The sequence below is a fragment of the Homo sapiens genome, chromosome 13 (genome assembly GCF_000001405.40).
Source record: "Homo sapiens chromosome 13, GRCh38.p14 Primary Assembly".
Classification (NCBI taxonomy): domain Eukaryota; kingdom Metazoa; phylum Chordata; class Mammalia; order Primates; family Hominidae; genus Homo; species Homo sapiens.
In genome coordinates this window covers 101,870,585-101,884,433 of record NC_000013.11, presented here as the reverse complement: position 1 = coordinate 101,884,433, position 13,849 = coordinate 101,870,585, and the positions used below count along the sequence as shown (strand labels likewise).

The 13,849-nt window shown below is 35.0% G+C and overlaps 1 protein-coding gene across 22 annotated transcripts in view, besides 1 other annotated feature; it reads left to right on the top strand.

The window, feature by feature from the left end:
* FGF14 (fibroblast growth factor 14) overlaps positions 1 to 13,849 on the top strand; it is a 691,640-nt gene that overhangs the window by 518,010 nt on the left and 159,781 nt on the right. For 21 of the 22 annotated variants that reach the window (NM_001321947.2, NM_001379342.1, NM_001321948.2 and 18 more), the window contains one exon: positions 9,138 to 9,248. The exons of the other annotated variant lie outside the window; for it this stretch is intronic. In NM_001321947.2, coding sequence (NP_001308876.1) covers positions 9,138 to 9,248 — 111 coding nt within the window. The remainder of the gene's footprint in view (positions 1 to 9,137; positions 9,249 to 13,849) is intronic. 22 annotated transcript variants of the gene reach the window in all.
* Positions 8,021 to 8,315: a silencer, noted in NCBI's record as "tiled region #11112; HepG2 Repressive DNase matched - State 9:DNaseU, and K562 Repressive non-DNase unmatched - State 24:Quies". NCBI's record gives its function as "represses a minimal TATA promoter and a strong SV40 promoter by Sharpr-MPRA in HepG2 and K562 cells {active_cell/tissue: HepG2 | K562}" and the evidence as "EXISTENCE:reporter gene assay evidence [ECO:0000049][PMID:27701403]".

The following is a 13,849-nucleotide window of genomic DNA, read 5'->3' as shown; positions in this document are numbered from 1 at the left end:
TGTCTTCTGAGGCAAAACTAAATCATTCCATTCCCTGTTTTTGTGACAGCCCCACAAATTGTTGAAAATGACATGTCATCATCTTCAGATTAAACATTTTCTTACACGGTTTTCCCCAGGCCCACCCTGTCTGTCACTCTCCTCTCATCTGTCAGTGCCCCTTCACTGTGTGTTTGTATCAGGGGTGGTCTGAGAACACTGGGATGTCCACCTAGAGCACAGCTGAGTGGTACCTGGGCAGCGTGAGAGGCCAGATCACAGAGGCTTTCACATTCACGCCATCATTTCCTTTTTGTGTTGCTCTTGCACACATCATATAGTGACTCTCTGCCTCCATTTCCTTGTCTTTTTTTTTTTTTTTTTTTTTTTTTGAGATGGAGTCTTACTCTGTTGCCCAGGCTGGAGTGCAGTGGTGCGATCTGGGCTCACTGCAACCTCCGCCTCCCAGGTTCAATTGATTCTCCTGCTTCAGCCTCCAGAGTAGCTGGGATTACAGGCACATGCCACCACACCCGGCTAATTTTTGCATTTATAGTAGAGATGGAGTTTCACCATGTAGGCCAAGCTGGTGTTGAACTCCTGACCTCAGGTGATCCGCCAGCCTCTGCCTCCCAAAGTGCTGGGATTACAGGTGTGAGCCACCATACCTGGCCTCATTTTCTTATCTTTAAAGTGAGGATAATAATGCTACCTAGCTCAAAAAGTCGCTATGCATATTAAATGAGTTAGTATTTTTAAGAAGAGCACTTAGAGTCGTTTCTGGCCCAAAGTGTATGCTCAGGAAATGATAGCTATTATTCTTACTATTGTTATCATTAGCGCTGGATATTACCTTTCTGTTTATACAGCCTCATTGTTTTAGGACTCACATCATGCTATTGGTTTAATGATGATGTGGACAATTGACAGCAATCTGCTTTGGTTGTAAATTCCTCTCAGCTCCTAACAAAACGCTTGGAACAAAGTAGATTCACAGTAAATGCCTCCTAAAGGAGCAAGTTAAATATCTTGGCATTTGAAAACATGCTTAAACAAAACATAGAAAGGATTTCTCCTCCTGTTTTCCAATGTAAAATGTTGTATTTCTGTGGCTGTGTTGCAGAATTCTAGAGATAGATGTGTCTGTAAGATTGATTAAGGGTGATGTTATGAACTGCCTTTCTAAAATTTTAAGCCTTAATAAATAAAAATGGTCAAGAGGCATCACTTCCTGGTGATAAAATAAGGAGAAACTTTGGGTTTTAGAGATGCATATAACTGGTTGCAACTGAATTCAAGAGCAAATGCTACAGTATCCTTCATGAAATTTTCACACTGATTTCCAGGAGTATTCTTTTCTTTCTTTCTGTACATAACATCTGGTTTAAATGTTTTTCCTGTCTGGTTAAAAGTGTAGATGTCTACTTGGATTCATAGGTATCGTATCTCTGAATGCCGCCTCTTTTCTTCTCCTTCCCTTGCTGTTTGGGAGATTCTGTAGAGAGGATTATTAATAAAAAAAAAATTTTATCACTCCCATCTCCTCCCAGAAGCAGCTAGAAGACAAATGTCTGGAAAAGAAACTCAGAAGGGAACAGAGCTCAGATGTTTGTACCTTTCTTTAAATGGAAGTAGCTTTAAAGTGTTTATCACTATCATTTCCAACTATCTACCCATTAGGTGGAGGTCTCTAAATAGTTCTAGATATGAACAGACAAGATGAGTGATATTCTTGCTCCAAAATGTTACTTCTTAAATATATGAGCCTCAACTCTGGAGGATGAATAGATCAGTCCTTGCCATGTGCAGTTATTTTCTTAAATTCACCCACTGCTTATTTTTTTAACATAAAACATTTAAAGAAATGCTTCCTGGCTCTAAAGCAAATGTATAAAAAAAAAAAACAGAAAATATATTTTTTTCAGACAAAGTTCCCAGTTTACTGCTCTACTATTTATCTGAAGAAATAGATAAAACTGCACATCTGGTGTAATTCTTGTTTTCATGGTTAATGCAATATCCTGATGCAATATAACTTTCCCTGAAAGGCTTTTGATTCTGAATTTTGTTACATAAAAATGCATTTTTTTTTCGACAGATGTCTTTGGTTCTTTAACATCTACTTTTTGTCATGCTAATTCTGTATTTCAGACAATGTAATGGCAGCTGAAGAACAAATTAATACGGTCTGCTATAGGTTTAACTGGCTGTGGAAAATTCTGTGAATGAATCAAGCAGCAGTTTTTCTTCAGATTCTTTAAATTTAGGGAATCCTATTTCTAGTTTCCGAAAGGAGAAGTGAATCATTCTGCGTAGTGTTTTAGCTGAATATGTTAAATCTGTGTATTAAATTTAACATAATACTGTATCTACAGTTAAAAAAAGAATAGTATTTAGATAACAATTAAACTGAATTATCTCATATTTCCCTCTTTAGATGACAATAGCATTTAAGAACTTACATAAAATCCTCTTTGCTTCATAATCTGGGACATATGTACTCTCTCAGCTGGCAGTGTAGTCCTTACTAATGTTTATGTTAATAGAAGGATACATAAAAGTTCCTGAAAGTACCATAAGTGTCTTTTAGTGTTTGGTGTCATTGACATATTAACAAGGAGTCTGAAGATGAGTAACACACCCACATCTGTCAGTGCCACAGCCGGCACTTGAGCGACACACCAGCACCTCAGACAGAGCATACAGCTTCTTTGCTGGTGCGCTTGTGTTCTGGGAAGGAGCAAATGAAATCATTCACAAATCAGGAATTCCTGGCACAATATAGAATCAGGAAAGCTTTTTCTAGATGTGATTGTAAGTGATGGATTGACTTGGATCCCAAATGTTATCACCAAAAGATACGTGCTTTTCTTTCTTTTCTTACTTAAATATGCACAAGAATTTTGCTGATTGTATTTTGCAATTACATAATTGATATTTAGGATTTAATTTGGAAAATATGTAATTACAACTTAAAAATAATAAATTAGTAGGCCAAAGCACACGATGTTTTATCATACAATTATTCATCTTTGTATGTGATGAATAAATAAGGTGGGACAATAGATTTGATATTTTGGCCATTTTATTGTCCATTTCTGGATTGTGTGGGCCATGAGAGCTCCAATGTGTTTCTAATATGTTAGAACTTTGCAATGAGAAAATTTCATTAGAAAATAGTGTTGGAAAGAGTGCTTTTCTGAGTTCCAAAGATTTCCTTCCTTCTGTAGTTTATATACACTGGATATTCAAAAAGCTAGTGAGAGTTCAACCCTGGGCTAGGAATCCCAAGATACTCCTGTTAAGTCTGTTCCTTGGAGATAAGGGTCAAGTATTAAGCAGGATTCTTACAGTCTCCCTTCCCTTTAATGATCTCTTCAAACATTTTCCCCTAGAAAAAGTCTTTGCCCATAGTCATTCTCTTAATATACTTTACCTAGAGGAAATGTTTTAGCTACAGTAGTTAAAAAGCTTAAAATTATTTGTGTTTCCGTTTCAAAACCCACATTTATCTTTAGCTCAAGCATGCTTTTCTCCAACTCTTAAATACAATATAAAAAATTCATTTTGCCTCAAAAACCATTTATAGATATATAGCCACTTTAAAAACAAAACAGAAAGTGAATTCGGTTCAATAAATACTATTTGAGCATCTGTTCTGTGGCAAGCACCGTGGTAGGTTATTTTGAGTAATATGCAAATTATCAAGGGATTTATCATTTATTTGCAGAGCAGAAAGACATGCAAACCCGCTAATTTAACACATGGCTGATTGATATAAAGCCATATTATAGTTTCTTTCCTCTCCTCAATAAACAGCAAACTCTTTGAGGGCAAGAGCTGTTTGGGTTTTTCATTTGTTTATTTTTGTTGTTGTTAGTTTGTTTTTGAGATGGAGTTTTGCTCTTGTTGCCCAGGCTAGAGTGCAATGGTGCGCTCAGCTCACCACAATCTCTGCCTCCCGGGTTCAAGCGATTCTCATGCCTCAGCCTCCAGAATAGCTGGGATTACAAGCGTGTGCCACCATGCCCGGCTAATTTTGTATTTTTAGTAGAGATGGGGTTTCTCCATGTTGGTCAGGCTGGTCTCGAACTCCTGAACTCAGGTGATCTGCCCACCTCAGCCTCCCAAAGTGCTGGGATTACAGGCGTGAGCCACTGTGCCTGGCCTGTTTGTTGTTAATGCCAGATGCTATCTCTAGTGCCTGCAGACATAGGATTCTGATAGGCAGAGAAGTGGTGGAGAGCTATTCTAGCCTGTGGAAGAAGTGTTAAAATTTAACACACATAATAGTACATTGGAATGGGACCGTGAGTTGGGTAATCACTCTGAAGTAACTGGAACCAGGTTCCTAGAGGGAAGGGGTTCTCGAGGTAGCATTGGGTCAATCCATAAAGGAAATTCAATGTAATCTTAAGGGATAAACAAAGATAGCAAATTTTCCCATGCCTTTAATTTTATCTATCATTTTCCTTAGTGTCCCTATCCCACCTTTATTTTCTCAGTCCTTTGGAAAAGTTCCTGGACACAGTTTATTTTTGTGGTTGGATTATATGATAATATATATCTTTAAGCAAATTATTCAAATACTATTTTCTGCTACTGGGAGTGCCAAAATCTAATTAGATCTGCCACATTTTTTTCTGCAAAAATGTACATTACAAAAGTTGTTTTTACCCTATAAAAATGTGTGATTTTTTCCATAGCTAATAGAAGAGAACTTACGTTTAAGAACCTATACTGATAACCAATTAGTACTGAGATTTATGTGTATATAAACATAGTTCGTATGATGTATATACATTAATGTATTTGCTACAGAAAAACATATGTCATAGTGTACATTTTTCCATTTAAATCATAATTTAAAATAAGTACACCATTTGATTGGTTATCCTGATTCTTCTTTCGCCAGTCTTCCCATTGCATGAAAACCATTTATGACGGTGTTTAATTTAATTGAACTCATTTCTAAGAGAATGAGTGTTTTAATTAAAAATGTTGTGTATTTTTCCCCTGAATCTGAAGGCAGTCGGACTGATTTGCATTTCTTTCAGTTCTGAGTGTTGAGGGTAATATATTATGAAACATCTTTTTTTCTTGATATGTATGCACATTAGTTTTCATTATTTCTATTTTAATATCACAGATCATTGTTAGCACAGAGTTTTGTGCAAGGAGTATCTTCAAAACGTTTTTAGTAAAATTATCAGGCACACTAAATAGAAAATAAAAGACAAAACTGGAGGAAAAGGGGAATTAAGACAGGCAAAGAAGAGATTCTAAGTTTTTATATTTTCTTAAGCAGAGTAGGTATTCTGAACACGAATGTTTCAGAAGAGAATAAAGAACTAATAATTTTATGAGTTAAAAAGTATTTTGCATTTTTGCATGGCTAGCTAAAATATAGGTGTAGGACTTTAGATATTTATTTTTCAATTATTCATTGGGAATCTGTATTGTAAGACTTTGGGATACATCAGTATTTAAAACAAAAATACTTGTAGGCCTTATATTTAACGTTTACTAGAAAAATATCATGCAAGCCTTCTTATTCTATCAGTTTATTGAAAAAAATGAGCATTTTTTTACATATTACATGTATTTTTACATATTACATTAATACATGTTTGTCTTACACATGTAATATTTCCACACTTTTATATCTGAAGGTATGTGCATTTAGGATGAAGTTTCATTTTTTATCCTAGTAACTATATTTCAGATTGTCTTTACATTTTCAAACTCTTTTGGCTAATTTCATGTTAGATTTCAATAGATCATCATTTGTTTTTGTTACTAGTTTCTATACTTGTTTTTAACCACAAAATCCATGTAAAAGAAAAATCTCATCTTTGTTATTTGTTTTGTGTTTATTTTAGCTTATTTTATTCGTATCACCTCTAATCCTTATTCTCTCTATGGGATTTTTCCCCCTAAACTATTCTAACTTTAGGTAAACTAGATAATATAACTTATAAATCTACTTAACCAGGAACACATAAATTGCTACACATTCACCTATGATACCATAAAATTACCATAAAATTGTCCAAAGGAAGAATTTGATGTCATCTGAAGTTTCAGGAAAGTGCTCTTGAGGAAATGGACGTGTTGATAGAACCAGAGTGGGGAGGAGGAAAAGGAGGCAGCTCTGCAAAGGTGTGTGCATGTGGGTGCATGCCTACACAGATGTGCAAAGGGGCATTTTAATGCAGGTGGCCATATTTGAGACAGATAAGGTTAAGGGAACAGGATAGATGTGGGAAATTATGGAATATTTATAGGTAACCCACAGTGACCCAGGTGAGGCTACTTGCAGGGGATGGATAAGGGCTATAGTGAGCAGAGCCATCAGATAAGATAGGGCCTTACTGCGGTAAGGTGCATACGTAACTCAGTGGATGGTGAAGAGTCACTGCATATTTCCAGACATGAAGGATTTGAAAAGGAAAACTGCAGGTGGGAAGACCACCTAAGAGAGGTAATGAGGGGCTGGCAGTGAAAATAGAAAAAAAGAAAAAGAGCGAGAGATGCGGAAGATGCATCAAAAGGAATTGAGCAACCCATTTGTTTTAAACTTATAGTACTGAACTAGCAATTTTGGTAAGGTTTTAATGGGGCAGAGATGTATTGGAAATGTGGCCAATGGAAAAGTGAGATGGATCTGAGAAGAGGTTTTTCAAGATCTTTGATCCTTTCTAACCTTTGCGTTACTGCTTTGTAATCACAAATTCAGCTCTGGCTAGCAGGATTTGGGTTTAGACACAGTGGCAGTTAATCTTCAAAATACAAGTTGGTTTTGGTTTTTTAAAGAGATTTGATTTGCATTTTATTTTTAGTGTTGAAGACATTTTAGTTCAATTATTCCGCTTGTACAGGCTGCATTAGGTAGCAGTTAAGTGGGCAGGGTCCAGAGCTGAGTGATCAGATTCCAGCTGTTAACTTACTGGTTATGTACCCTTTGTCATATTATTACTACTTAATTGCTCTGTGTCTCGATTTCTTCATCCTCCAAGTGGGCTTCTATTAAGTAAGGTAATGGTGAGGATCCAAGAGTTAATAATAGAATGTGCTTCTAATAATGCCTGGCACCTGAGAAGAATAGAATCAATGGCGTTATGATTTCTAAAAAGGAAAAACGTCAAACAATATGTAACCAGATGAATCAAAATCAATTTGGTTGTATTTTCTCGAAGTTAAAGGAGAAAAACATAATTTTACATTTTATTTGTGCTCCCTCACCCAAAATGAGGCATAATCCCAAATCTCTCTGTATAAGCATGAGGGCGCGTGTGAGTGGGTGGGTAGGTGGCTTCTCACTGCCTCGCCTGATCTAGTTAATTCAACTCCAGAAGACAGAGTAGCTCAAATAGGAGACTGCTTAGGAATAAGTGATGTCAGAACATAAAAGTTTTACAGAAAAATTGTAAATCACTAATATTCTCATTTTTTTTCTTGACAAGAGAATAATAAAAAATTCTCTTTTTCATGTTTTTAACTCTTTTTGCTTTTATTCGCTTCTTTTCCATGCTACATATTTTCAGTGAAGAGCATAAATAAAATACAGCAAAACTAAGGAAGAAGTCTTTAGTACTTAGCCCAGTCAGGTCTTCCAGGTGATGGGCAGACTTAGGCACAATAGTATTTTTTTTCCACTAGTGCATATCTTAGAATTATGTGATTTGGGAAGTTATATACTACAGAATAAGGAACATATGTAACGCAATGCAATAATCACTTAGATATTTATTTTTAAAATCCTACTCTTTTAAAAGCTTTCATATTCTAATACAGCTAGTCACACTGATGTTGTGATGATCTGCTGTTCGTGCATTATTTTCCAAAAGGATTTTTCCAATATTATACCATCTATGAAGCAAGTCTAGGTACAATGGAGTCACGTCTCAAATGATCAGTTTTAAATGATGTGCATAGAAATAGATACTGAAATTCTTTGTAATTTCTTCAGGACTAATAAAGAGCTTAAGGATAGCTCTCAAAAAAATTTTTTTGTCTTCACCTATTTGCAAGACCACAATTTTTCTATTGATTATAAGGTGCTAGGTTTCATTACTCAGTAACGTCCGACTGTTTCGACAGCGGATTGCATTAGCATGGCCCATTCAGCTGTTGTGGAGAGATGCCAGTTGCCATGGTGAAGATTATGATGTCCCACATCCAATCTATCCCTGAGATGGGGATGGCTTTTGCAAAACCACATGCAAATATTTGTTTTCAAAGGTACAACTGACTCTTTGTGAAGCACTGGATTACTAGAGTGGATGTCTTTTCAATGAATCATCAAATGAGGATCTATTACCACATGATTTCCCTTTTTGTTTAAATAAACTTCCACTGCCCTCTATCTCAATGCCCGTTGACAAAGAATCAGATTTCATATTGTATAACTTGACTGTCCTTTTTAGTTATACAAGTTAATGAGTTTAGCAGTTTAATTTGTCTAATTTCTCTATTTGATTGCCTCAGAGCTGACCTCATATGCGTGGGTTTGCTGTGTTTCCCCTGAGCTCACAAGTAGAGTTTTCCGTTTTCCTGTGAATATGTCTAAGCAGCACAGATACTTCCATGGAAGTAACAATGACCCTTCACACATCCAGGGGTTTTCTCCAAATTGGGGCTTTTCCTAAGAATATGTATCATATGTTAGTATGAATGTTTTTAAAATATAGGTATTTTTTGTTTTGTTTGTTTTTAATTTTGGGAATACTTGTCAACTTAAGTAAAAGGAGAACTCCATTAAAAAACCTTTTAATAAAATTTCTGAGAGTCACCAGTTTGCAAAATTCTTGTCCTGCCATCATGAATGATAATATTGTTTATAATAATTCGTTTATAGTTTAAACTAATAATTAAACTGACAGCTTAATTAGTTTAATAGTTTTAATTAATAATTTAAATATGCATATACCAGTTTTATAAAACAGCCTGTTTCTGTGGCTTACTACTGCATTTCCTTTACCTTCTATAAATAGAATACTGCAGGTTTGATAAAACACAGAAGAATCTGAGAGACAAAATAAAATATGCTACTTGTATAAAATGTCCTCTTCTGAAAAAAGAAAGAGAAACAGAAAAGATAAAGGAAACTATGGTGACACATTGTGAGGCTTATGATAACTATGTTTGCCTTTCAGATCCCCAGCTCAAGGGTATAGTGACCAGGTTATATTGCAGGCAAGGCTACTACTTGCAAATGCACCCCGATGGAGCTCTCGATGGAACCAAGGATGACAGCACTAATTCTAGTAAGTGACAACCTCAGGCCACCAGTTACATAGTTGGTAGAAGATACACTGCTACTTAAATGACTTTTTAAGATTCATTTGCAAATGTTTGGTCGTGTTGGTTCATCTTTACAAATGTTACACACTAGGATGCCATTTACAATTTTATTTAAACTACGTGGATGAAAATATTAATGGAGTAACCAAAGAAACCTATGGTTTAAAGATGATTATGTTACTATTTTTGTTTTTTATTCAGACAGTTATCATACCCAGAAAATTACTGTTACTTTTAATCTTATTATTGTAAAAGTTAAGTAAGTACACTAGTGTATTTAGGTAAAAATTAATTACATGTTTTCTTTGGATGTATTATTTTATCAGGCTCTGAGGTTCTTAACGATGCCTGTGGAAACTCAAAAGCTACAAGGAATAGTTTTGTTTTGTTTTTTTACATAATAGAAATATAATTTAAAATTCTTTGCATTTAACAAAAAAAACTTTCTTATAGAAAAAAACATAAAGGTTGTGTACTTTGAAATTCATTGTGCAAAGTGTTTGCAGAATTGCATCTGTGATCATTTTTAATTAAAAAGCTACACATCTTCCACTGTATAAATGTCTGTGTTCTTTTTCCTATTTCTTTATGTATAACATTTCTCCGTCTGGTGCCTCTCCTTACTCAACTGTCTGTGTTTTGCTCTCCCATTTTCTGTTTATATTGGCATCTGATTCATTTTTAATTTAGCATATTAGTTCCAAAATAAGCACACTTTTTACTGTTTGGGGGAGTTAGTGAAAAGCAAAACTATTTTTATTAGAAATACTTAATCATAAGAAACATTATCGGTGGATCAAAAATAGATATGAATTTTTTCATTAATGTATGTCTTATTCTTCACATATAAACATCATTCCATGAAAAGAAGTGAGGGTTTGAATAATACACATAATCAAATCAGAAGGCACTTCCTTTTTTATTTTTATTTTATTTATTTTTATCAGCTCAATTTAAAATTCAGCACTTCCTTTTTTAAATTCCAGTGATCAAATTGCCAGTAACACTGATTCTGGCAGTAGTTAGCGATACAAAATAGGTTATTTTTACATGTCGTTTTGCCATGTGAAATATCATTATTTTTCCAGCCATCGTGTTCACTTTTTGTATTTTGTGCATTGCTTCACTTTTTATTTTTTCTTCAATTCCTTTTTAATTGTTGTGTATATCTACATTGTCCTCCGTGTCAATTTCTAATCTCTTTACTCTCTTTGTGTCTCATATCACTCTTTTTTATTTTTAAATTTTTCCTTTTTATGTTTGTTTATTGGTTTATTTTTAGTTTATTTCCTTTTTGATATAGGAAAAGAGAAGGTAAAACAATTCAGCTACAGAAGAAAGAGGAGGCGTTTTATGCCAAACATGTACTTTTGCAGCTTTTGTTATTAGTTTGAACTTTCAAAGATTATTGGTAGTTGACAATCTTTGACCAACAAAAGATGTCAGTTTCTTATGGTTCAGGCTAATACATGTATCTCTGCTCAGTTTCTTTTCCCCTTAAACTCTTTACCCATTTGTTGACAAAAACCATTTCCTTTCTCTTACGTGTTACTGTTGTGTAGGTCACAAAGTTTAGCGATTCATAATTTCTGATGTCTTCAGTGTTCTCTCATTTTGTTTGGCCTGGGAGGATTAGAACGTAATAACTAGTTTCCCATAACTCTGATCACTAGGTGAGCTATGACACTCTGAAAGATTCATCAGGCTAAAGACTGATGCCATCCATTTTATGACAAAAGTTTTCAAGACAGGACATACACCATAGCTTCATAAATATATTGCTTTATTGGACTACGTGAAAAATAATTTCACTCAAACAAAGGTTTTATGTGTTTTTTCTCTAGCATTTTTTCTTTGTGTAATTTTTGCAGAGCCAACAAAATTGGTTACCTTTAATGATAGGAATCAATATTATTTTGAGAAGTGTCTATTAGACATTGCCTTTTAAAAGCATACTGCTTCAGAATTGAATAAGCACTTTCTAAATATGGAAGTGCAGATTTATTATGTGCACACATACAGGTCTGGTTATCTGAATAATTTTAAAGACTAAACTGGAAAGCTGAGATACTAAAAAACACTCCACCTTCTGTTCTGTAAATATATGTTTTTTTTTTTTCTTCTGTATCTGCAGTAGAAGGAGCAAAAACTCAGAACGAATCTTGAAATTTCTTCTGACACTCTAAATGCTAGTGAGACACAGTCCTGAGAAGAAAGATGAAACAGGATCCCCTTTGTAAAAGCAAATCAGAAGAAAATCATAATGCCCACACTCGAGGGGCTCAAATTCCTGTGCAAAGTTCTGGTCCACAGCTTTTCTGAGACATTATATTGCATTTCAAGTGCACTGTAAGCCAGTTAGTTTAGTTTTGTTACTATTTCAACATTTGCAAAGAAATAAAGAAAAACAGTGGGTAAAATCAATATTCCCTCCTCAAAAGGTTCTACAAATTATATGACTATAAAATTTAATACAATTGGCAGAATCGTAGCAGATTTATAAAAGTAATGGAAATTACTAATTAACTTCATTTTTATGTCCTCTGGCCTATGCAAATTGCAAAACGGTGTTTCTTAGGATGAATTTAAAGACATTTTCTTTTCTCTAGTTCATTTCAATAGTCTCATGAATCTTATGAAAAATGTAAGCACTGAAAAATTCTTTAAAAATAGGAATGTGCTTTAGAAAGGCTGTCAGGTCCTACTTAGAGTACAGCTCTTTTGTTGTGAGGACAGAGGTGATGTAATAATCATATAGTTTCCTAGTTATGAATAACCAACCCATGGTTTGTATTCAGGGAGTTATAAAAAATGGAAACATGTTTATGAATAATCATTCATAAACATACTGAACATAAACATTATGAATAATCATTCATAAACATGTTTCCATTTTTTATGACTCCCTGAATACAAACCATGGGTTAGTTATCCATAACTAGCAAAAATAATTTTAAAAAAACCAAAAACTCACCCAGATAGCACTGTTAAAGTCACTAAATAACAAAATTGAGGGCTTGAACTTTCGTATCTTCATGAATTGAGTTCAATACATTTCCCACACTAAATATGGATATTTAGAATGAAAAAAAGACAGAACCATCCTGCTAAACTGCCTTTGTTAAAAATTTCAGATGAATTAAGAAGAGGGGAAAAAGGCCCACTGGTAGGCAAACGTTGGTGCCCCTGTTCTCCAAGGGTTTCCAGTCTAATATATGTAGATCTCTGGGAAGGAAAAGTAGCACAAAAATTGTGGATGATGGGTAAATGGTTCTGGTGGAGAAAATACTGTAGCAAGTCAACTGCTTTATTATTGACTACCATAATAATGGAAAGATCTTTCACAAAAGGAAGTGAGCACCTAGGTAACCTCATTACCACTCTCATTTAAAGTTCTTCTAAATGTCAGCATCCCCATGAACTACGGTACTTTATTAGTGGGTGAGTTTTCTTTCCCCCCACTTTGCTTTTGGGGATGCCATGGATTTTTTCTGTGCTCTTAAACTTCATTGTTCCTACTGACAGACAATAGCTACTACAAGCAGAATAGGACTCTACAGATATCAATACACTATTAACTATGGTAATGTTAAAACCTCAAAAGTCCCTCTCACCTTAGAAATGCTCAACCTGGTAACTTGATGTGTAAAATATTTCGATCACTCAGTGGCCACCACCCCACAGGATTTAGGACGGCAGTTCTCACCGTCCTTAGTTGTATATTAGGGTTATTTGAGGAGCTTTTCAAAAAAATTCCTTATGTCCTAAACCCGTTCCCAAAGATTGTGATTTAATAGGTATGGGGTTGAGCCTGGCCATTCTATGTTATGAACACAGCTAGTTTTAACGTGCGGCCAGAGTTGAAAATCACTGTTATATGAAGAACTAGAATGTTCCATGAATGAACAAAGTCACAAAAACATCTCCATTATTCTTACTCCCCTAGGCTTTGTGACATTGCCTTATAATTATGTAAGAAGCAAAGAGAGTGGAGAAATAAAATTATATCTCAATTAATGTGGGTATCTGTGTTTTTAACTAGTACCGGTTCCATCATGGCCAGCTCTGAATGGTTCTCCACATTTTAGTGTACATAAGCATTCACTTTCCACTATCATTCTGTAAATTATAATACCTTGTTTTATGTATGTATGTATGTATGTATGTATGTATTTATTTATTTATTTATTTATTTTTGAGATGGAGTTTCGCTCATTGCCCAGGCTAAAGTGCAGTGGCGTGATCTAGGCTCACTGCAACCTTCACCTCCCAGGTTCAAGCAATTCTCCTGCCTCAGCCTCCTGAGTAGCTGGGATTACAGGCATGCCCCACCACGCCTGGCTAATTTTGTATTTTTAGTAGAGACGAGGTTTCACCATGTTGGTCAGGCTGGTCTCGAACTCCTGACCTCAGGTGATCCACCCGCCTCGGCTTCCCGAAGTGCTGGGATAACACCACGCCCGGCCAATACCTTGTATTTTATAATTCAGGTCCCAACCAAAACACAAGGGAAAAACACTAGTATTTTTTCAGTATGATCATTTTAAACTATCTTATATAATTT